The sequence below is a fragment of the Homo sapiens genome, chromosome 14 (genome assembly GCF_000001405.40).
Source record: "Homo sapiens chromosome 14, GRCh38.p14 Primary Assembly".
NCBI classification, from domain to species: Eukaryota; Metazoa; Chordata; class Mammalia; order Primates; family Hominidae; genus Homo; species Homo sapiens.
Genome location: NC_000014.9, coordinates 97,310,513 through 97,336,238, shown reverse-complemented (window position 1 = coordinate 97,336,238; position 25,726 = coordinate 97,310,513). Strand labels below are relative to the sequence as shown.

The 25,726-nt window shown below is 41.0% G+C and overlaps 1 annotated feature.

Annotated features, from left to right (window-relative positions):
• Nucleotides 17,415-17,694: an enhancer, noted in NCBI's record as "active region_8995". NCBI's record gives its function as "activates an Ori minimal core promoter by ATAC-STARR-seq in GM12878 lymphoblastoid cells {active_cell/tissue: GM12878}" and the evidence as "EXISTENCE:reporter gene assay evidence [ECO:0000049][PMID:35858748]".

Here is a 25,726-nt window from a genome sequence, read left to right as displayed (position 1 = left end):
GGAATTTAGGAGTTAACTCCCAGATACCTCTATCCCTTGGCAAACTGTGCTCTGTGAGAAGAACCCTTAAAGGAAGAATTCTTTTTGTCCACCATGCAGAAATCTCACAACTCATTCACAAGATCTCTAGCCCTAACAGTGTGAAACCATGAAGTGTCAACCCTGGTCCCCCTCCCACCTCTTCCAGGGTCCCCTCTGGACCTCCGGGAGAGCATCCTTCTGTCCTGGTCCTGGGTCCGAATCAGCCACTAAGAAGGCAGGAGAGCAAAAGACCATTGCTCCCCAGGAGAAGTTGCAGAAACAGAGGTGGCTTGGAGGTCAAGGTAGGTCCAGGTTGATTTCTTGAGAAGTCACTTATTTCAGTGCAGCCAACTGAGGACATTAGTAGGAGTTTTGCTGAGACTCTTGAGGATTTTAACAGCCTCTGGACAAGCCCTGCATAAGCCTCATCTTCAGCAGTTCTGTGAGACATCCAAGATGGCCCTGCTGCCCATCTGAGAGCTTCTCATTTCTCACATAAAAACACCTCATATAGATTTTTTTAGACATAGACAAACTAATTCTCAATTTATGTAGAAAGGCACAGGCCCAAGAATAGCTAAAACAACCTTGAAAAAGAAGAACAAAGTGGGAGGAATCACTCCACTCAATATTAAACCTAACCATGTAGCTAGAGTGATCCAGACAGTGTGATATAGTCTGAGGAACGGCTACATTGACCAATGGAACAGACTAGAGACCCAGAAATCAGCCCATACAAATATGCCCAGTGATTTTGGTCAAAGGTGCAAACACAATTCAGTGGAAGGGGAATTGCCTTCTTGACAGACGGTGCTGCAGCAATTGGATGGCCAGAGGCAGAAGAAAACTTCACAGCTTAATCAAAGACCAACTCAAAATGTGTTATGGACATAAATGTAAACATGAGAAACTGTAAAGCTTTTGGGGGGGAGAAAAAAAGAAAGAGAGTATCTTCAGGACCCAGGACTAGGCAAAGAGTTCTTAGATTTAATGCAAAAGTATAATATATAAAAGAAAAATTGAGAAATTATACTTCATCAAAATTATAATCTTTTGCTTCATGAAAGACCCCATTAAGAGGATGAAAAGAAAAGCTATAGACTGGGAAAAAATATTTGCAAACCACGTATCTAGACATATCTGGAATATACATTTTTTTAATTTTCAAAATTTAACAGTAAAAAAGAAAAACAAAAAAAAATCCAGTTAGAAAACAGATAAAAGACATGAACAGACATATCACCCAAGAGCATGTTTTACATTGAACATCAAAAGATGTCCAACATCATTAGTCATCAGGGAAATGCAAATCAAAGCCACAGTAAGCTATCACTACACACCTACAAGAATGGCTAAAATAAAAAATAGTGACAACATCTAATGCTGGCAAGGATATGGAGAAATTAAATTATTCATGTATTGCTGGTGGGAATGTAAAATGGAACAAACATTCTGGACAATAGTTTGGCAGATTCTTATAAAACCAAATATGCAATTACTACTGTACAATTATACTCTTGGGCATTTATCCCACAAAAGTGAAAACGTGTGTTGACACAAAAATGGGCACATACATATTTACAGCAATTTTTTTCCTAATAGCCAAAAAAATACCCCACTGCGCTTCAATAAGTGAATGTTTAAATAAACTGTGATACATCAATACCATCATGGAATATTATTAAGCAATAAAATGGAACGAACTATTGATATATGCAACAGCTTGGATGACTCTCCAAGGAATTATGCTAAGTGAAAAAAGCCCATTTTCAAAGGTTACATACAGTATAATTTCATTTACGTAATGGTCTTGAAATAAACAAATTATAGAAATGGAGAAGAGATTGGTAGTTACCAAGTGTTAGGGATAGCAGAAATGGCAGAGGGTCATGGGAATGGATGTAGCTATAAAATGGCAAAACAGAATTTTTGTGATGATGGATTGTTCTAGGTCTTGACTGTAGTGGTAGATACACACACCTACACGTATTACCAAAATAGAACAAAGTACACACATACTTACACAAAAATGAGTACAAATGAAATGGGAAATCTGAATACGATCTGTAGGTCATACGAAAGCCAAAAACCCAGTTGGTAATATTGTACCGTAGTTTGCAAGATGTTACCATGTCAGGAAACTGGCTAAAGTGTACATGGAGTTTCTCTATATAATTAGATATTGGTTTGCAAATATTTTCTCCCAGTCTATAGCTCTTGTTTTCATCCTCTTAATGGGGTCTTTCATGAAACAAAATTTTATAATTTTGAAGAGTAATGATTTATCAACTTTTCCTTTTATATATTACATTTTTTAATTAAATTCAAGAACTCTTTGCATAGCCATGTCAGGAAACTGGCTAAAGTATACATTGAGTTTCTGTATATATTATATATATATATATATAAAAAACATATGTAGTGTATATATATATATAACATATATAATATATGTAACATATAATATATAACATATATAATAATACATATAGCATACATATTATATATTTATTTTTACTTATTTATTTATTTTTGAGACAGAGTTTCACTATTGTTGCCTAGTCTGGAGTGCAATGGCACGATCTCAGATCATTGCAACCTCCGCCTCGCAGGTTCAAGCAATTCTCCTGCCTCAGTCTGCTGAGTAGCTGAGATTACAGGTGCCCACCACTATGCCCGGCTAATTTTTTGTATTTTTAGCAGAAATGGAGTTTCATCATGTTGGTCAGGCTGGTCTCGAGCTCCTGACCTCAGGTGATCCACCTGCCTTGGCCTCCCAAAGTGCTGGGATTACAGGAGTGAGCCACCATGCCCAGCCATGATATATATTTATATATTATATATAATTATATGTAAAGTGCTATATATGTGACATATTATTATATATAATATGCTATGTGTGTAATATATAATATATATAATAATATATACTAATATATTATATATAATAATATATACTATATATTATAATATATATTAGTATATTATATTTATATATTGTATCGTATATAATATAGAGAGACTCTGTGTGTGTATCTGCAATTATCTCAACATAAGAATTTAACTATTAAAAAAGCCAAACACTTCATAGATGGAATTTATGAATGACTGCTCTATTCTTTACTAAATTCTAAGTGCTGGAAACTGTTCCCCACTCCAATCCCTCACAAAAAAGAAGAGACTTTAATAGACACAGTTAAAACAGAAGGGTTTCTGTTGAAATGAACATGTGCCAACAGAAAGGCACTGGATTCTTTGTTCCCTCCTAGGAGTCTTCTAGATCTATACCATCAGTGGAAATGAATGAAAGATAGCAGTTGGCTTCTTCTCTTGGGCTGATGTGCTATTTATTGCTACTGGATATTAAATGTACACACACAGAGAGAAAGAGGAAAATGAAAAAGAGATCTTTCTCTATGAAAAGCAACAGAAAGTATTAGTCAATATCTGCTTGATGCAAAACCCCAACATTTTGCTTCTCATTTCTCTGTGCAAAACCTACTAAGATGCACAATAGATTTGAGCAAAGTATAGATTAAATGCAGACTTTGAACTGTGTGTAGAAACTTAAATTGGATTTCTTTATGATTTAAGACATGTTAGGTCATTCATAATTCATCACAAGCACATCTTCAGTTAATGTAGTAAAACCAGCCCCTCCCAGCCTTTTCTATAACGCACCAGAAAGATGTGTTTCATGTTTGCTAAGTGGAGGAGCAGCAGTAGTAAAGAGGAACTATGTATGGGTTTGTGTGTGTACATTTACACACACATGCCTATGTGGACAGATAAGCAAATAAGCACAGGGCCATGACCTCCAAACCCTCTCCAAATCAAGATGAGCTGAAATGAATCAGAATCAAGGGAATGCATAATCTTATATTAATCTCAGTAAATATTCAAACCTAGAGAGGCAAGCAATACTTTGCCTTCTTAGGACAAGGAATGGAGTGTTTTTGGGTGGATCATAGCTCTGAGCCTGGAATTAACGAGGCTTACTCCGCAGACAGGAAATCCAAATGTCAGAAAGGGAAGTGGGTTTACCCTGGTACACCTTGACATGAACAGACATGTCACCACAAAGGACTCTCAAAGGACCCTGTCTACATTTCTTAACTTTTTTTAATTTTTAATCTTCTAATTTTTTAGACAGAGTCTCGCTCTGTCGCCCAGGCTGGAGTGCAGTGGTACGATCTCAGCTAACTGAGACCTCCACCTCCCGGGTTCAAGGGATTCTCCTGCCTCAGCCTCCCGAGTAGCTGCTATTACAGGCACACACCACCACACTTGGCTAATTTTTGTATTGTTAGTAGGGACAGGGTTTCACCATGTTGGCCAGCTGATCTTGAACTCCTGATCTCAAGTGATCTGCCTGCCTCAGCCTCCCAGAATGTTGGGATTACAGATGTGAGCCATCGTGGCCGGCCCCTGTCCACATTTCTTAGATAGCACCCACTACCTGTGTTTTAGTTGTTGGTTACATGTCTCTCTTCTTCAGGGAGCCTCAGGCCATGTCTGATAACATCTCCACATTCCTGAAGCTGAGCATAGGTTTAGCTCAGAATCGTGGCTGTAAAAATAAGTTCACTGATGCTGCTTGATTTCTAGTCTGCTGAGGTTCATTTTTATATAAATAACACCTCATTTTCTGATTACAACTAATACCAGCTTGTACTGTTTATTTTTTGTCCCTCCAGATCCTCTCTACTTTTTCTGCCCTGTCAGGTGTCCAAGAAGGCTGATCATATTGATTATGTTACCTAGGCTTCCATGTCCCCTGGATTCCGATCAGGTTCTCTTAAAGGGACGCATCATCAGAAGATCAGATTGCAGAAGGAAGGAGAAGTAGGTGACACCCCTCTTCCCTGACAGCCTTGGCTTGGCAGTCACTGTGCTTCACTACCACATGCCATGGAGATCACTCCCCTGCTAGGCTCCAGGAACAGGTTCAGACTCAAAGCAGACTCAAAGGTACCAACAGCTTCCCACTATTGCTAGTCACAAAATGTGTCATTGCCTCTTGCTATTTTCTTGCTGGTTATCAGGGTTGTTTTGCCCAATGTTTGGGTTCTTTCTGCTTGATACTAGGAAGGAGTGTGCTTCCTGATTTCTTCATCGTCTACTAGGACAATATGAATATGCTTGGAGCATTTTTGCCAGTGCAGGAATACATATATATTGTGCTTCTACCAGAGCTCTCTTTCTCTTTTTTTCACAATGACCAGCAACATTCCAGAGAGAGGGTGGTCCATTAGTCAATACCCCAGAAAGAAGGCAAAAAAAAAAAAAAAAAAAAAAAAGAATGTGAAGAAGAACATAGACTATTTACTAAACATGTACATAATGAGCAAGAATTAAACTGAGATTTGGGTGGTTTTTTTTTTTTTTTTTGAGATGGAGTCTCAGTCTGTCACCCAGGGTGGAGTGCAGTGGCACGATCTCGGCTAACTGCAACCTCCCCTCCAGGGTACAAGGGTTTCTTCTGCCTCAGCCTCCCGAGTAGCTGGGATTACAGGCGTGTGCCACCATGCCCTGCTAATTTTTGTATTTTTGGTGGAGACAGGGATCTCACCATGCTGGCCAGGCTGGTTTTGAACTCCTAACCTCAAGTGATCTGCCCTCCTCGGGCTCCCAAAGTGCTGGGATTACAGGCATGAGCCACCATACCCCGCCCGAGATTTGGGTGTTTTGTTGTTGTTGTTTCTGTCGTATGATTTAACCTCTCAGGACTAATACAGCAGCCTTAACCCTGAGACCTGTCAACAGCCGCTTCACTAAACGCTCTTCAGTTAATCTTTGAGAATGACATGTATTTTCTGCTGAGACTTTAAATAATAATAGCCCACTTTGGAAAATGTGCAAAGTATAGAAAAATATAGATAAGCAAATAAAATAATCAAAACCCCCACTACTCAGAGATAACAACTATAAATTTTTTGGCATGTTTTCTTCCAGTTTATTTTCTTTGTGTGTGTATGTATGGGTGGAAGGGCGATGTGTCTATATTTCTATGTGTTTGTATGTTATTGAGATTTGAAATTAAATTATAATTCATGCCCTTACCACTTCCTACAATAAGGTGAAAAATTTAAAAAGTGATGATAATACATTTAGCCAACACAGCTTTGACCTTGTTTAATTGAATTGACAGGTGCCCCAGAGACAAATAGCCAAGCAGGGCCAAGGCGCACAGTGATCTGATGGCCATTTCACTGAAGCCTGTTTTTTGCCAGGCTCTTACAGTGGGGAAAAGAATGGAGGAAGCTTTGCCAAAGGAAAATAAAACATCCAACCCCAGGGGAGCCAGCCACAATGGCTGCACTGGTAGAAAACAAGCCATACAATGTCAACAAACAGAAAAAGAATGGGGCCTGTCATCAAGCTGGAATTTGGGAAAGGTCTGGTTTCCAGGCATTTTATGGTAGCAGCAAAGAAGCAAAGATAATTCATGTACATTGTCGGATGAGCTCCTCTCAACACAGCCAGTTTAAAATGGCACAATGGGAGCATGTTGTGTAGGCCAGCGTTCCCATTAAGCCCTGTGCAGCCAGCCTAGCTGAGACCAGGAAAAGGCACTTGTACCCATGTGAATGTTCGTGTCCCCCCAGAATTCATATGTTGAAATGTTGGCCTCCAAGTTGATGATACCGGGAGGTGGCATCGTTGGGAGGTGAATAGGTCATCACAGCTCTGCCCCTATGGATGGGATTAGTGCCCTTCTAAAAGGGAACCCAGAGAGACCCCTGATCCCTCCACCCTGTGAGGACACAGCAAGAAGTCACCTCCTAAGGACCAGGGAAGGAGGCTCACACCAGTCACCAAATCTGCTGATGCCTGAATCTTGGACTTTCCAGCCTCCAGAACTGTGAGAAATAGATTATTGTACTTTATAAGCCACCTAGCCCAAACTGACTAAGACCTCTGTGGACTGGTATAAACAAGACCCAAATCTGAGTCCTATTTAGCCTCACCTGGGTAGTACTTGCAAGGGTTAAAAGACTTACCAAGTTCACAAAATCATCTGCAGTAGGGAGCGGAGAAGTAAAATTCAAACTCCTTTGTCTCTGATCCCAAAGCCCTCAATTTCTTCACTGGGCCATGCTACTCAGGGGGAAAAGGGAGTTGCAGAGGAAAAGGTTCTGCTTTTTCTAAACACATTTTAGTTTTCTGGCAGAGTCTGGCTGGACACTCCCCGATACTTTTTCTGTTTTCTGGTACAAGAAGACTACAATTCCCAACTTCCCTTGCACTTATATTGTGGCCATGTGACTAGTTCCAGCTAATAGACAGTGGCCCCAGGAGATGTATGCAAGGCTATGTCTGTGTTTTAGAATCTCCCACTGGAGCCTTAGCTTACTCACTCTCTTCCTTCTATACATCAGGGCCGTGCACTGGAGAAGATCCAGATCCCTAAGTCACCGGTTAGGAAGACAACCAAGAAAGCCACCTGACCTACATTGAACTGTGAAATGAATGGGAAATTGTGTGTGTGTATGTGTGTGTGTGTGTGCATATATTAAACCATTTTTATTGAATTAAGCCACAATTTGGTTGTGTTTGTTACAGCATCTATCATGCATTATCCTGATTAATACGGCTTGGTACCTAAGACATACACACACTGAAAAAGTGTTATTTGCTGTTACAATATGTTCTAATGTAACTGTGAGTCAGGAGAGGCCATATTCACTTAAGAAAGACTGGGGAGACATATATTGTGCTCCTACTATAATCTGAGTTTTGTAGGATATTATATAGTCATACATTCATTCATTTAAAAATATTCTGGAGTGCCCTAGTATACCAGATCTACTAAAAATGAGATTTACTTATTCATTAGTTACTCATTGAGTCTCTGTAAGGACAAGGCCCCAGCACTGTGTTGTGTGACGGTGATAAAGATTACTAAACATATATTATGTCTGTGTTCTTGAGGTGCTGAGAGACATATGCAGGTTGAGCATTCCAAATCTAAAAATCCAGAATCCAAAATACTCCAAAATCAAGCTTTTGGAGCACTGACATAATGCTCAACAGAAATGCTCACTGGAACATTTTGGATTTCAGATTTTGGGATTTGGGATGCTCCCCCAATAAATATAAAGCATCTAAAATCTGAAAAAATCTGAAATTTGAAACACTTCTGATCCCAAGCATTTTGCATAAGTGATACTCAGTCTATATTTATTCACCTAAGAAATATTTATGGAGTGCTGACTAGGTGCAGACACTGTTCTAAACAACAGAAACCCAGTCAAATCTACAATTATTAACTGAGACAGGGCTCTGAAATCATGGTTCCAAGAGAGCAGGTAACTAAAGAACCTGATCTATACTTGGGTGGGGAATAGGGAGGCATGGAGGGCTTCCCTCTGGAAGCCACGTTTAAGCTGAGATCTGGCAAATAGGTAAGGTTCAACTGGGCCAAGTGAGGAAGAAGGAAGTCATTCTGGGTGGAAGGAGCAGTGTGTGTGAAAGTTGGCGGCAGAAAGGAGCACATCAGGCTGCAAAGGCCAAGGATGTCCTGCAGGGCCGGAGTGCACAGCATGGATTGAGGTGGTGGAGGGGCTCTCTATTGAAGAGAAAGGCATCCTGGGCAAAGTACAAAAGACAAAGCACAATTCAGAAGATCCTTGAAAACATATAACCAAACAAGTATCAATATCTGTAATGCCAAAACAAAACAAATCTTCAAATTAACATGGAAAAGCAATTAAGCTAATTTTTTTTAAAGGGACAGCTGTCATGAACAGGCAAATCCCACAAGAAGACACATGAATGGTAAATAATGTCCAAATTACCAACCTCTGTGGTAATCAGGGAACTATAAGTTGACATTTCAATAAAAGATAAAAAATTATATGTACCAGAGAGAAAATTTTTTAAATATGATGGTGCCAATCTATGGTGAGAGTGTGATATGGTTTGGCTGAGCCCCCACCCAAATCTCATCTTGAATTCCTATGTGTTGTGGGAGGGACCCAGTGGGAGGTAATTGAATCATGGGGTAAGGTCTTTCCTATGTTGTTCTTGTGATAGAGAATAAGTCTGTGGCCAGCCACTGTGGCTCAAGCCTGTAATCCCAGCATTTTGGGAGGCCGAGGCGGGCGGATCACAAGGTCAAGAGATTGAGACCATCCTGGCCAACACGGTGAAACCCTGTCTCTACTAAAAATACAAAAATTAGCTGGGAGTGGTGGTGTGCACCTGTAAGCCCAACTACTCAGGAGGCTGAGGCAGGAGAATTGCTTGAACCCAGGAGGCAGAGGTTGCAGTGAGCCAAGATTGTGCCACAGCACTCCAGCTTGGCAACAGAGCAAGACTCCATCTCAAAAAATAATAATAAATAAAAGAAAAAGAGAATAAGTCTCACGAGATCTGATGATTATATATGGGGCAATTTCCCTGCACAAGCACTCTTCTCTTATCTGCTGCCATGTGAGATGTGCCTTTCACCTTCCGCCATGATTGTGAGGCACCCCTAGTCACGTGGAACTGTAAGTCCACTAAACTTTGTTTCTTCCCAGTCTGATATGTCTTTATCAGCTGTGTAAAAACAGAGTGCTAGCTGTTTGCCAAAACCTGTCTCCTCTTCTTCCTGGCCATAGAGTGAAATGACATTTGTCAACTACTGCCATAGGTAGTGATGTCCACCTGCCTGAGTTCCAACCAGCATGCAAGTGAAGCAATGGGTACAACTTTCAGACTTGGTGGATGAATACTTCCTTGTCTTCTACATGCACATAGGGATGGTGGCTCCCGGGCTGTCACAGGAGTCCGGGGAGGGCTGCTGGGAGCAAGATGAAGACAGCAGGGCTAACAGGTAGAGAGCTAGGCCCACGTGTGTTGGGGAGACATAATGGTGGTGATGGTTCTGGAGTCTGTTTACCTGGATCGAGTGGAGCCAACCAGGAAGTTTCCATGTCAGTATCCTATCCCACGGGCTGGGAAGTTTTCCCCGGAAACCAGCATCAATGTGGCATGCAGGTGATCCTCAGGGCTGTGAACTCTTCACAGAATGGGCATAGGGATGAAAAGAGAACAAAAATAATGCAGTCCCTGACCTCGTGGAGCTTGTCTTTTATTTTTATTTTTTGAAAATATTAACTAATTTAACTTATTCCCATCTTTCAATTTTATAGCTGGGGAAACTGAGGCTTAGGGAAGTTAGGAGGCTTGTCCAAAGCCATTCAATTAGAAGACAGCAAAGGTAATGAACAGTCTGCTTGACCCTACACTACACCATCCAGTCTCACAGAAAGTTTCTAAATAACAGAATACTTTGGCTGAGCAAATGAGGCCAGCACGGCTGCCTGTACTCTGGGAACATTCAGGAGGCATCTGGAATTCTATTTTGGAGCACCATCCTAGAATGCCCTTCTGTCATCCATTGCCACCTTCACTACGCCGGAGACGATGACATTTATATTTTTAAACCCTTTTTGTCAAAATTAATGCTATCGTTCTCAGGTGCAGGATCCTACCCCATGGAGCACCTGCAGAAACAGGAATAAATTGTAAACAAAAAAATCCCGGTATTACATAAGACATTAAAATTGGAACAAGAGTTTAATTTTAAACCAGTTCAATTTCATCCCTAATAGCAAATGCTGAACAATGGAGAAACCCTTTCTCTATTCAAAGTCTTCCAAGAACAAAGAAATTGTCCCCATGTAAAGCAATAACCTAATACCATATTAATAATAACCTTGCATTCGTATAACCTTCTTCACTTTCACAAAGCTCTTTTACATCTGCTGTTTCATAGGGAGGTGAATTCAGACACAATTGTAGTTATTAAACAAAACCAAGAGTTTATTATTATTATTATAAGGTTATATTTGAGCAACTGCCAATCTATCTTCCTCATTGCAGTCAGTTAAACTTTTTCGAAAACAGTTCTATTAAGATCACTTCTGGGTCACAAGAAATGTTGGGATCTTTCTCATTGGCACCAGAAGGAAGATCCTAATATGGCCTGGAGGACTTTGCAATCTGCCTCTAATCTTTTCTCAGTCTCATTTGTCTTCACTTTCGGAGAGGCGGTGTAACCAAGAGATTAGGAACCCTGATATGGCCCGAGAACACAGCTGGGTTCCCCTCCTGCCCAGGACCCTTTGCAGCCCATCCAGTGAAGACTGGACCTTCCCTTGGCACCACTTTTACCCAGACATTCACCCCAGCAGCGATTTCAGGAGAGAGTCAAATGAAACGCAACACCTTAGGAAACAACATTGCCTTTCCTTGGCTTGCCATGGTTGGACCTGGCCGAGAGTAAAATCAGAGGGTGGAGATCACTTCTTATTAACCTCCCCCACAGTGCTGTGCCAGAAGCCCCACTGCAGACTGAACCTATCATGAGATCAGTCTAATGGCCCAGCAGTCTTAGAACATAGCAGCCACCATTGTATACAAGAGGAAATGGGGGTTGAGGAAGGGGAAGGACCTGCTAAAGGTCACATGGCCAATGCCCAGAGGCAGTAAGGCCTGAGCCCACATTCTCTTCAGCGTTCAATGCTATTACTATGCAGATGTCTCCTTTAGGGTACATTTTTTTTAATAGCATGTATCTGTATACACACACACACACACACACACACATATACACTCACACACATAGGCCACTGCCACATGTAACATACATGCACACATTCTCTGGGGTGGAATTTGACCCAGGGATGCTGTTGAAGAGTTTTGAAATTTCTTAAGTATCAATCACAGGATAAAACTTGGAGAAACTCCATTTTAAGGACAGAGCATGTCTGAATCAGCAGAAACAGGAAGGCAATGGGATTTGCAGGTGAGCAGGAATGATCCTCCTGACCCCAAGAGCTCCCACCTTGAGGGCTCACCTTGCCTGAGGGCTTTTCCTGTGGAAAGCAACACTCTTTCCAAGAATAATCTGAGAAAAAGGACAGTGATGACAGCCTCACTGACAGGTTAGGAGATGGGAAGGTCAGTGAAATTGGGCCCAAAGGCACATGACACAACACAGATGGAGGACATTGGACACAAACACTGGCTCCAACCTCCATGCTCCTCCCCAATGAGAATATGTCCCCTCCCACTCTCCAGGAACAGAATTGGACAAAGGTGTCATGAGAAGTTGGTCATAAGGGTGGCCATGAAGGGAGCAGGGTGAGGTGTCAAGGGGCAAACAAAGAAAGAGGGTGGAGCCACTTCCACTTCTCTTTTGGAGCTGCGGAGCCTCCTCTGCCAACAGGAACAGCACCTACCACATGGAGTCTGGAGGGGTCTCATGATTTCACACAGGGAAGAGGATCTAGCCCAGTGTTCGGCACAAGGGAGGTGCTCAGTGAGCTCAACTGCTTTCCTCCTGTGTCTCCTGTAGCTTCAAAGTCCCTACTAAATGCATGGGAAGCTCCCCAAGGGCAAGAATCAAGCCATATAACCTCACAGAGCTCAATACACTCTCTTAGCATCAGAGTAAAACCATGGCATCACCTATCATGTTCACAATACTCATATCCTTTGCTCACTTTTTGATGGTGTTGTTTGATTTTTTCTTGTAAATTTGTTTCAGTTCTTTGTAGCTTCTGGATATTAGCCCTTTGTCAGATGGGTAGATTGCAAAAATTTTCTCCCATTCTGTAGGTTACCTGTTCACTCTGATGATAGTTTATTTTGCTGTGCAGAAGCTCTTTAGTTTAATTAGATCCCATTTGTCAATTCTGGCTTTTGTTGTCATTGCTTTTTGCAAATCAAAACCACCATGAGGTACCATCTCACACCAGTTAAAATGGTGGTCATTAGAAAGTCAGGAAACAACAGGTGCTGGGGAGGATGTGGAGAAAGAGGAACACTTTTACACTGTTGGTGGGACTGTAAACTAGTTCAACCATTGTGGAAGACAGTGTGGTGATTCCTCAAGGATCTAGAACTAGAAATACCATTTGACCCAGCCATCCCATTACTGGGTATATACCCAAAGGATTATAAATCATGCTGCTATAAAGACACATGCACACATATGTTTATTGCGGCACTATTCACAATAGCAAAGATGTGGAACCAACCCAAATGTCCATCAATGATAGACTGGATTAAGGAAATGTGGTACATATACACCATGGAATATTATGCAGCCATAAAAAGGATGAGTTCATGTTCTTTGTAGGGACATGGATGAAGCTGGAAACCATCCTTCTGAGCAAACTATCACATGGACAGAAAACCAAACACTTCATGTTCTCACTCATAGGTGGGAATTGAACAATGAGAACACTTGGACACAGGATGGGGAATATCACACAACAGGGCCTGTTGTGGGGTCGGGGGAGGAGGGAGGGATAGCATTAGGAGATATACCTAATGTAAATGATGAGTTAATTGGTGCAGCACACCAACATGGCACATGTATACATATGTAACAAACCTGCACGTTGTGCACACATACCCTAGAACTTAAAGTATAATAATAAAAAAAAAAACAATACTCAAACGTCTATGTTGCCTCCAAGTTTTCAAGGTGCGTTTATCAGCTCATGCAGTGTTTTGAAGCAGATGCTATTCTTCATATTTTACTGATGAAAAGAAGAGAAGCAGAAGGGTGAAAAGAGACTTGCTTAGGGCACCACCATTGGTAACTGACAGAGTCAGAAATTAAAATCTCACTACTTAAAAAAAACTTGATTTATTTCGGAATAATTTTAGATATATTGAAAAGTTGCAAAAATAGTACAGAGAGTTTCTTTGCCCAGTTTCCCCTACTGTTAACATCTTGCATTACATGGTTCATTTGTCAAAACTTAGAAATGGCCTTTGCTGCACTGCTATTAACTAAATCTCACATTTTACTTGGATTTGGCCAGTTTTTCTCCAAATGTCGTTTTTCTCTTCCAGGATCTATGCAGGGAACCACATTACACTTATTCGTCAAGTCTTCTTTCTCTCCTCCGGTCTGTGATAGTTTTCACTCTTCCCTTGTTTTCTCATGACCTTGACAATTTTGAGAAGTACTGGTCAAGTGCTTTGTAGAATGTCCCTCAATTCTGAACAGGCAAGGCTTTAGAATAACTAGGCAGGTTCTCATTTCACTAACCCACAGTTGCCCCTACTTAATGGAAAATTCCATGAAACCAAATCTCCATGCACAATAATTCTGGAATCACTCATCAACTCTTAGCCATCAAGGGAATACAAGAGCATCCTGTGATGACCACCTCTGTCCTCTAACACCAACAGGACTATTTCAGTGGACTGGCCAGCTCTGCCCAGTGGCACTTTCTTCAATGATGGTCTGTGTCTGCACTGCTGATATGGATAGCCATATCCAGCTAGGAGCACTTGCAGTGTGGCTAGCGGGGTTGAGAAAAAGAATTTCTAGTTATATTTATTGTTAATTAATTTTTATTTAAATAGTGACTTGCGGCTAATGGCCACTCCAGGCTTAAGTGTAGGGCTGGACAAACCCAAAGTTAAGTTAGTCCTCGAGGATAAAGATTGAGAAGCGTGCATTACCTTATTCAGACTGCTCGGCAAAGAAGAATTCATGATTAAGAACATGCTAGAAAGAAACATAAACCACAGAGATGGGTGAGGGTGGAGCTTTAGAGGCCAGTGTTCCCCAAACTGGGCTCTTCGAGGACCTAGGAGCTCCACAGGGGTTTATAATGGGACGAATGGAGGAAGGCATCTCAGATAAGAAAAGAAATCTGGCCTGGCGTGGTGGCTCATGCCTGTAATCCCAGCACTTTGGGAGGCCGAGGTAGGAGGATCATGAGGTCAGGAGATCGAGACCATCCTGACTAACACGGTGAAACCCCACCTCTACTAAAAATACAAAACAACTAGCCGGACGTGGTGGCGGGCGTCTGTTATCCCAGCTACTCGGGAGGCTGAGGCAGGAGAATGGCGTGAACCTGGGAGGCGGAGTTTGGAGTGAGCCCAGATCGCGCTACTGCACTCCAGCCTGGGTGACAGAGCGAGACTCCGTCTCAAAAAAAAAAAAAAAAGAAATCTGTATGTGGGGTTATACATGTGCTTCCCATCCTCTTTCCAGTCCCTTCCTCTCAGACCCTTCACCCATAGCAGCTCTGCTTATTCCTATGAAGCAGGGCAAGCTGCCAGGAAAATAAGCAAACAAAAAACACTACCTTGCATGTTCATTTTATTTACATATTTATTTAGCTGATTGTAGACTTGACAACAAAGACTAAAGCACGTCCTCCTGCCCCTCCCCTGCCCACGTCCACTCGATCCCAGGAACAAAAAGCCAGAAGTGGTTGTGTTTTTCTCCCACTTGCATCTCAGAAGGGTGGAACTGGCCTTTGTGTTTCAGGTCACTGAGGCCATCAAAGTGTTTGAGATGATTTGGTTCTGTGTCCCCACCCAAATCTCATGCTGAATTGTAATCCCCAGTGTTGGAGCTAGGGCTCGTCTAGTCTTTCCATGTTCTTCTGCTTGCTTTTATTCTGGCTGTCCTGGCAGCTGATTAGATGGTGCACATCCAGATTGAGGGTGGTCTGCCTTTCCCAGTCCACTGACTCAAATGTTAATCTCCTTTGGCAACACCCTCACAGACACACCCACCCAGGATCAATCAAGTTGACACTCAATATTAACCATCACACCTACCTTGGAAGCCCTTTGCGGAAAATGTGAAGCCACGCATCTCTTGGACATTCACATGGGACTGTTGTGTGAACAAGAAATAAACTTTTTCTGTGTTAAACCACTGATATTCTAAGGTTCATTTGTTACAGCAGCATTACTTAACTAATCGTCATGCCCTAATTCCTGTTACTGAACTTCTAAGCCATATTTTATTTCTCTATGAAACAGAATTAAGGATATGTATATCATACGGCCACAGTCAGATTAGAATATATATACAATAGAGTCATGGTCAGATTAGATTATGTATTCCATAGGATCATGGTTGGATTAGAGTATGTGTCTCATAGGGTCGTGGCCACATTAGAAGACGTTATATATGCAGTGCCCCTGCTTATATTATTATAGGAGACACTCAAAATTGACAGCCACTATTGCATTTACTTTTTTGCCCCAAGTACAGTCAACTTGGTTTCAGTTCACTTTTGGTTTGAAGCAACCTCAAAGTCAGCTTTATTTATCTAATGAAACATATAAACACAATTTTTATTACGTTTGGGGTCTGTTATATCCAAAGCAATGGCTGGGTTGGTTTTCTCTTCCCATTCTGCACTGAGATCCAATGCACTAGCAGATGGCAATCCACTCCCTTCTGGCCTTACAGAGAAGGACTTTTTTTTTTTTTTTTGGCAAGGTCTCACTCTGTTGCCCAGGCTGGAGTGGAGTGGCATGATCATGACTCATTGCAGCCTTGACATCCCAGGCTCAAGCAATCCTCCCACCTCAGTCTCCCAAGTAGCGGAGAATACAGGCATGAGCCACCACTCTCTGCCTTAGGGAATGATTTTTTAAGCCTATAAGAATGCTTCTGTGACACCCATTGTAGCCGTAGTCTGGAATCACCATGGACAAAATGTCTGTTCTCAAAGGTGATGTAGTTGGCATTTACAAAAATGTGTCCATGATTCTTCCAGATAGAGATTCTTGTTCCCAAGCCAAAAGCTCATGATCAGAGAAAAGTAGCGTCAACCATGTCTATAGCATGATGGAATTTACTTATGAATAAAGAAGTAGGAATATCAAGAATGCATCCCTCCATCCATTCATGTATTGAATTAACATTTGAGCAGCTACTGTTTGATCCCTCTCAGATTAGTTCGATAAATAAAAAGTGTTTTTAAACTTTTATTTATAAGTATACACTTACAGGAAGTTGCAAAAAAAAAAATACAGAGAAGGCCTGTGTACCCATCTCCTGCTTTCCCCAGTGGTAACATCCCACATAATTGTCATACATATCAAACCAGGAAATCGATATTGGTACAATCTGCAGGTCTTATTGGGATTTCACCAGTGTGTGTGTGTGTGTGTGTTCCTGTGCAATTTTATTATATCTATAGATTTGTGCAGCCATCAACACGGTGCTTTTGATTTTTATTTCTTTCTAAAATGTATACATATTCATTAGAGAAAATGTTGGAAAGTCGAACTAAAATAGCAATAACAACTATAGTGCTACCCCTGAATAAAAACTTAGTTTATCATCTGGGTGCACTTCTGTTCACAGTTCTTTGTTTGCATATTTTTGTGCTTTCCTAAGTTTGTATTTCTAGCTAATTCTTCAGCACCTACTATGTGACGGTGATCACAATCATTCACATTATTGTCTTTTTGCTTCACTTAAATCTCTGAACAGATAGGCAAGTCAGATGCATTGACTGTAATGCAAGGATGTCATTATCTCTATTTTATACAAGAAAAGATCGAGGCTTCAGGAGAATGAATGACTTGCCCAAAGCCACAATGTAAATGAGTGAGACACTTGGTCTGACTTTGTAACCCATGCATCTCCACTCTAGTGCCTGTATGCTTTCTGCTCTGTAACTGGCTTCTTCAAATACTCTGCAGTTGAGGAAATACTCTGCACAGGCATGATTTGATCAGCACATCACCTCAAAGCCCTGTAGATACAGCAAGACAAGCGTTCATATACCCATTTCAGAGACAGAGAAACAGAGGTCCTGTAAGGTTATTGAGTAAAGTCACATATCTTGTAAGAAGAAAAATGAAACTGAACCCAGATCTTCTGCATCTTAGCTCAGTGTTTACTGCTATATTAAGGACAGCCACAAGGAAACCTTCAGAGTTCACACCTCCCCATTCCCACACCCGTGTCCATGGCTACTTGGCCAGAGCTCTTGCTCTTGCCAGTCCTGGATGTGGCTCAGAACCCTTCTTAGCCCAGAGTACCAGACAGCACTCTCAATCCTTCACTTTGGTATTGCAGCTGCAACCCACCCCTACACAGCACCAACGCTGATCCTGCACCTACTGTGCAGTCCTAGGTATGGTCAGGGTATCTGATCTGGGCTCCACTTAAATATGCCTTTGTGCATTACCATGTGGAAGGGAAAGAGCCTTTATTCTGTTATTTGTATGATAAAAAAAACCTATAACGGCACCTATAATATCTGAGTGGATCCTTAGCAATATCAAAGAGCAGAATTCCAATAAGGGTGTTGCATTAAATCTGAGCTGGCAAGAGCTTATAATAAAAGTACAGTAATGAGCAAGCTTTATGATAAAATTAATGTAATTAATTAGTGTTTGTAAAGGACTTCAAGATCACAGGGTGAAAGGCCCCAGCCAGAGGAAAAGTCATCTTAGAAATTACCACTATTATCATCTTAAGACACGGCATATATTATGCACTCTATGAGCATTTCCAAGCATATATTCATGTCCCAACTATAACTATATTAATTTATAGTAATTTGCAAATCAGGTCTCTGATCAGCCTTGGGAACCCTTTCTGGAGCTCTAAGTGGATGAGGTTATGACTCAAGTGGTATTTTAAACTCTGTCCTGTGATAACCTATTAGAGAGAGCAGCCCTATACCCCCACGCACGCTCAAGTTTGAGATTCAAATTGTACCTGACACGCATGAGCCCTAAGGTGCAGTTTTGTACTCCGTGGCAAGTCTTCCGGGTTTTGGTTGGGTTTTATTAAAAGCAGGTCTGTGAATGTTTCTTTAGTTCTTACTTTTCCAACTTTCCAGGATTCATGCATTGCTGTTTCTCTCTGATCCAATAATATTCCCTGAGGTTGGGACCACCTCTTTGCTGTCACTCTGTTACCCAGAATGCATGGAACTGAGTCTGGCACGCTTTAAATCTCCGGGGATTTTGGCTGATGAGGAATGCTCAGCTCAATGTTTCCATGTCCAAAATAAGCCTTTTATTTCTAATCATCCGAAATCTGGATTATCCTATTTGAAACCAGATTACCATATTTCTTAACTGGACCACACAATCTCTATTGAGCTTTGGAGGTATATTATAAATAATTTAAGCTAATTTTTTGGTAGTAAAATGTCATGCCAATGGGGAATTTGGAAAAGAAAGACAAAATAGGGCATTTTTAGTTGTTGCTTTCCCTAAGCATTTTTGCCTTCTAGGCCACCACTGATGTCATCTTCTCAGTTACCGATGTTCTTGTTCAAAGCTCCTGACAAGTTGTGTTTTTGCCCAGTCCATCATGAGAAAGTGAGAAGGTAATGAACTAAATCAGTTTCTTGTCCACAAACATGCATAGGAGACCATACAAAAGGGATATCATGGAACGAGACCCTCCTTCAGCCGTACAAAAGGTATGGAAGGGAGTTTCACAAGCACTCAACCTATTGACAGATCTCCTGGCTTTGAGTTCTGACACCGTCTTGTTTCACCAGTGTGATCCTGAGCAAGTCACTTTCTCTTTTCATAGATGTGCTTCTCCTCATGTTAAAAGGAGGATGGGAGAAGGAAGTGAGTAGAGACTGTACCAGATCAGGCATGGCCAATATTGGCTGACATGATGGTAATCATCCCCTCAACACACACACACACACACACACACACACACACACACACACACACCCCTCCCGGGTGTACTGTGGCAGACATTCCCAATCCATCACTGATCCCTTTCCCACTGAGCCCAAACCCAGCCCCAGAATCTTCAAGACAGCCCCCAGGTTGCTTCTACTTCCTAACCCGATTTGCTAATTGAGAAGAAATCACGGTTCCCTTCGGCTCCAAAGACGCAAATTTGGCTGCAATTTTGCAAAATGCTGTTTCCAATAGCATTGCAAGAAACCATCAATGTCTAAGTAAATACATTTATTTTTTTCCATGAAAGATTTTCTGGCTGCTACATTGTATGAAACTTTATAGAAATTATAATAACCTTTAAAAACCAACTAAAATACAAACATCATTATTAGAATGTTCAATTAGAAATGCAAACACACTCCGCTAAACAATCTCCAAATGTAATTGTTTAATAACAAACCATAAATTAAAAAGAAAAGTACAAAACAAAATGCCCAGGGAACAAATTGTGCTCTTGAGTTGTCGGTAAAAACCAAGAGCTTGTTTGGGTGCCATGAACATGCTCTCAAATTGTTTGTTCACTGCAATTAGGTCTTGTATTACACGTGGACCATTTCTGCCCTGAGCAAAACTGGATATTTTCTCAGCTGTTGGCATTCATATATTGGTATGGTTTGCCTCTGCATCCCCACCCAAATCTCATGTCAAATTGTAATCTCCACGTGTCAGAGGAGGGGCCTGGCGGGAGGTGATTGGGTCATGGGGGTGGAATTCCCCCTTGCTGTTCTTGTGAGTAAGTTCCCACGAAGTCTCATGGTTTAAAGGTGTGTGGCACTCCCCCCTTCACCTTCTCTCTCATGCTCCAACATGTAAAGACATGCTTGCTTCCCCTTCATCTTCCGGCATGTTTGTAAGTTTCCTGAGGTTTCCCAATCATGCTTCCTGTTAAGCCTGTGGAACTGTGAGTCAAGTAAACCTCTTTTCTTCATAAATTCCCAGTCTCAGGTAGTTCTTTATAGCAGTGTGAGAATGGACTAATACACGTATCATTTTGGAAAACTCCAAGAAATCTCAAAATAGTAGCTCTAGTAAATATATTAATGTGCTTTATAGAATCTCACTTTTCCACAGTGTTTTTTCTATAAAGAGTTTTTGCATACAAACACCAATCCTTGCATCTTTACAACAATCTCATGAGGTATGTGTTATTATTCTTCCCATATTCAGATGGGGAGATTGGGTCTGAGTGAAAGTAAGTCTCAAGCCATTATTGATCATTTCTCTCTGTTACCCTCAGCATAAAATGCCAGATTTGTTCTCCATGAAAGTGATCAACCTGAGATTTGTAAAAATGACTTTTTAAATTATGCTATTCTGCTTTTCTGTGTCATTGAAATTGGAGGGAGACCCAAAATGCAGAAAAATAGAGAAGTCCTGCAAATGCCCATAGTTCATGCATGTATTTTGCCAGCATGCAAGTTGCACCCTGCTCAGGGTTAGCATTGGGCAAGGTGGGGAGGCTGAGGCAGAAACACAGCTGCCCTCAAGGAGTTCACTGTCTAACAGAAGAGACAGAGAAGACAACTAAGCAGCCTGCACCCAACTACAGGGCAAAAGTTGGTCAATAAGATGGGTCTTATCCTAGCTTGGAAGCAAAACCTGGGTTTTGGACCATGGAGTTCTGGCAAGGTAAGAGTAATATTCCCCCTCAATGGTCATATTAGACCATAATCAAGACTGTTTACTGTCACCATCTCCAACTTTAGTGTCTATAAAGTAAATTATAGCTGCACTTGACATAAACACTGTATCTATAACTATATCTATATTTATATATATCTATTCATTGAGGATTAACTTAGAAGTGTAAGATACTCTTAGTAGTATTAGTATCATCATCATCACGATCATAATAATTTACATTTATATAAGGGAAGCAGTGATTATCCTCATTCTCTATTGTTCGGCCACAAAATGTAATGACTTAAAACAATAACCATTTCATTTACCTCACTATTTTGTGGGTCAGGAATTCAGACAGAGCTTGGCTGATGATACTTTTGCTCTATGGGCTGTTGACTGGGTCACTTGGTGATATTTAGTGGGAGGCTGCTCTGGTCTGGGGGAGTTCAATATAGCTATACTCACATGTGTGAAACTTTGATAGGGACAGCTGGAAGACTGGGCTTGGCTGGACCTTCTCCATGCAGTCTTAGAGCCTCTCTGTGTGTCTTTCCAGTGGAATAATCAGACTTCCTACATGGAAATTCAGGGCTCCAAGAATCCCAGATGGATGCTTTCAGTCCCATAAAGGGTAGGCCTGAAACTGGCATAGCATCGTGTCTGCCATATTGTAATGGTGAAAGCATTCACAGTCCATCCCAGATCTAAGGCAAGGGAAAAATAGATCCCTCTTCTGGATGGAAGAATTGTCAAATAATTTACACCCATCTTTAGTCCATCTCAGTTTACGATCTGGTGACAAATTGTTTACATACCTCACACACACAAAAATACATTCTCCCCTTCCCAAGACCCCTGAAGTCTCATCACAATTTTGCAATGCCTTAGAGCCTAACATTTTATTGTCTGTATTAAGGACAGGTGCTCATGAGGCTGCTTGGGTGCAGTTCCCCAAACATAGTTCTTTTCAATCTGATGATCTGTGGACTAAAGGGAAAAGCTATCTGCCCTCCACACATCTAATCTATTGTGCTGAGACAAAAATAGAACAATTGCAAATGGTATGCTTGCTCTAACAGGGAGAAAGCAGGAGTGCCTTGAAGTTCCTGGTCTGCAGCAATTCCAAAACCCAGCCTGGCACATGTTGCCAGTTCCTTGAGTAGGGTCTAATAATGCTCCTTTTAAATAATTCTTCACAGCTCTTGGCTCTCCCTTCTGGATCATTCTTTATTTTCCATAGGAAATGGTTCCAATTTGCAATCAAGTAGCCTTATTAGCTTGCTTCTGCCCTGTGTGAGTAGAAGATGAGGTATCCTAAGACTGCTTTTCATTTTATGGTGTCTCTGTTGCTGTTTGCCCACACTGGCAGTGCTTCTACCAATACAATTATCATAAAACTTGGTGGGTTTTCTATGAATCTCATTGGGGTTTTGTGTTAGTCTGCTTTGCCTTTGCTATAAAGGAATTCTCAAGGTTGGGTAATTTATAAGGAAAAGAGATTAATTTGGCTCACAGTTCTGTAGGCTGTACAAGCATGGCAACAGCATCGGCTTGGCTTCTGGCGAGGCCTCAGGAAGCTTTTAGGCATGGTAGAAGGGAATGGGAGCAGGCGTGGCAAGGGAGGAAGAAAGAGAAAAGAAGCCCCAGACTTTTTTAAACAAGCAGATCTCATGTGAACTCATTGCTGTGGGGAGGACACCAAGCCATTTATGAAAGATCTGCTCCCGTGACCCAAACACCTCTTACTTGATCCCACCTCCAAGACTGGGGATCACATTTCACCATGAGATTTGGAGGGGAAAAACATCCAAAGCATATCAGGTTTGCACCATTAGATTAAAATCATATTCACCTTTCTTTCAAAGAGAGACACTAAGAGGGACTCTACCTTCATAGAAGCCTTTTTGTCCAGCTGAGAGAGTCTACTAGGCTATACATTTAGAAATCTTACCAAGTACATTCTTAAATTGTGCTGACTTTTCAAAAAAGAAGAAAAGGTGGGGGAAGGATTGGTCTGTCTTAGAGCTATATCTTTAATATCTTTTCCTTGAAGCCATATGTTACTGAAAGGCCCCTGGATTTGGCCTTTGCCCTGAGCTCTTACATTGAGGACTTTTTGCTGACTAGAAAGACTGCCCTAGCTCTTGATATTTCCTCTAATTCTGCTCAAAAATGGAACAATTTTTCTTTAGTTCATCCCTCTCTTCTTGTGCCTTATCCTAGGCCACTAGTAGAAGCCAGTTGGTGCTTTTAGCTTTCTGCCTGGAGAGGCCTTTAGCCAGATGCACAGCATCTTTCAGTGTCCTTCCCATTATCCACGTTTCCACCAATAATAGTTTTGCTCATTTGTCTGCCAGTACTTAACTTGGGGGCTCTTTCCTCCAGCCTCCAGTAACACTTTCCTCATCACCCAGGAAGCTCTCACCCAGTTTCCTCAAGGCACTTCCAGTCCAGGCTGAAAGAGCAGAATTAGAGTCTACCTCTTGAAAGAAGAACTGACAAAGAATTTATGTCCATCCTGTTAAAGTGAACTAAATATGGCCCGAGAAGGACTCCATACTTCTACATTTGAGTCCTTGTGGACCAACTGCAGCATAGCTTAATAGGTAGACAAGATTGAAAACCTAACTTTGGAGTATGCACCTGTAACAATAGCTAAGTCTTGGCCATTCTCAGCGGTCATACTTCAACCATTCATACACTGCTGAGTGTTCAGACTGTTCAAATAAGGCAAATACTGAGCTGTAACCAACCCAGCCATTCTGTACCTCACGTTGGATTTCTGTACTTCATTTCCCTTTATTATTATTATTATTATTATTATTATTATTATTATTATTATTATTTTGTCTATAAATCTTCTTCCACCACGTGGCTGTGCTGGAGTCTCTGAATCTGCTGAGATTCTGGGGGCTGACTGATTTGCGAATCATTCATTGCCTAACTAAACTCCTTTAAATTTAATTTGGCTGAAGTTTTTCTTTTATTAACCTTTCACACATTGCAAGGGTTAGATCTTGATGTCTGGCTGCCTGAGTTCAAATCCTATTTCTTCCACTTCCTAGCTGGTGTAAACTTTGCCAACTTATTTGTTCTTCTATATCACCTTCTGTAAAGTGGGTACAATCATAGTTGCTATTTTACAAGTTGCTGTGAAAACTGAATAAGTAGCATTTTCACCTTCGAACCTTCAATTTAGTTAAACAAGTACTCATTGAGTGTGGATACATGCTGGGCACTATGTGGGGTGATGAGACAATGGGATGCCAAAGAAATGGCTCATTCTTCAAGATGCCCTTGCTCTGAAGGAGAGATATTTGATTAGGAAATAAACATATTTGTTTGATTTTACAGCAGGTAAAGCTGAGTCTCAGAATGTCAGTGAATTTCTCAAAAAACAGGAAGTTGATTCACAGGTAGTGACAATGGTGGTGCCAAGGCTTATAGCCCACACCACCTCCACAGCCCCACACTACCTCTCAGGCTAGGAGGACCTCAGTCTCACTTCCACTTCCTCCACGGAGTCACTGGCAACTATTTCAGGAAGTATTGCAAGGTTAAATAAAGATGCATATTTAAAGTATTTTTATATATTTTATTCATAAAATGTATGAATAATATACATATATTTAATTCAACGCATATTATAATTGATCCACACGTATACATTTAGGATTCATAATTATTTAAATCTTGTCTTGAGATGACCATTTATTGCATTTAAAAATTTTGCAGGTTACCCAAAATAGATGTCGCTTTGACATAAACTTCCCGATTTCTAAATCTTGCTTCCATAATGCTCAAGGCAAAAAATTTCATCTAAATATTATTGAATTCCAGCACAACATTAGCATGCAGAGATATTTACAATAACAGAGCCATTACAACTCAATCAAAAGCTGATTTCAGCCAGAATTATGCAGAATTAAATCTTGCAGGATTCAAATTATTAAAAATCAGAGACTCAATAAAGTGTGGTCTGGAAGTCCCATTTATCAAGGGAGTCGAAGTGCCTCTACAGTTATAGTGACTTTTTCATATATATTCTGCAAGAATTTGCATGCATTTTAAAAGATCAGAGTTTAATTCTTATGGAATTCAAGTAACTATGCTATATTTATAAGGCAATGGAAGCCAGCTCGGAAACTGTTCTCTGTTTCCTTTCTATATCTCACATTTTAAATGCATTGGTTTTTATATCTGGTTCCCACTGAGTAGAAAGATCTGCAATGAGGCCACAAGAATAGAGAGAATACCTTACTCCAATAAAGGCCAAATCAGGGTGCCATAGAGGTAGTTACAGGAAATCCAAAACCATTTATAAAGCTTGTCATGCAACCAACACATCAGAAAACTCCCTCTTTTCCTGTGTTTTATCAAACCAAGACAATTTATTTACTTACTTGTTATATTCCCTCTTTCAGAACATTTCATCTAAATAGACAAAGAGTAAATTTCTAAGAAAATAGGAAGAGAGACAGAGAGATACATGAGAGGGGAGGGGAGGGGAGGGCACAGGACGGGAGGGGAGGGCAGGGGAGGGGAGAGGAGGGGAGAGGATGGGTACATTACC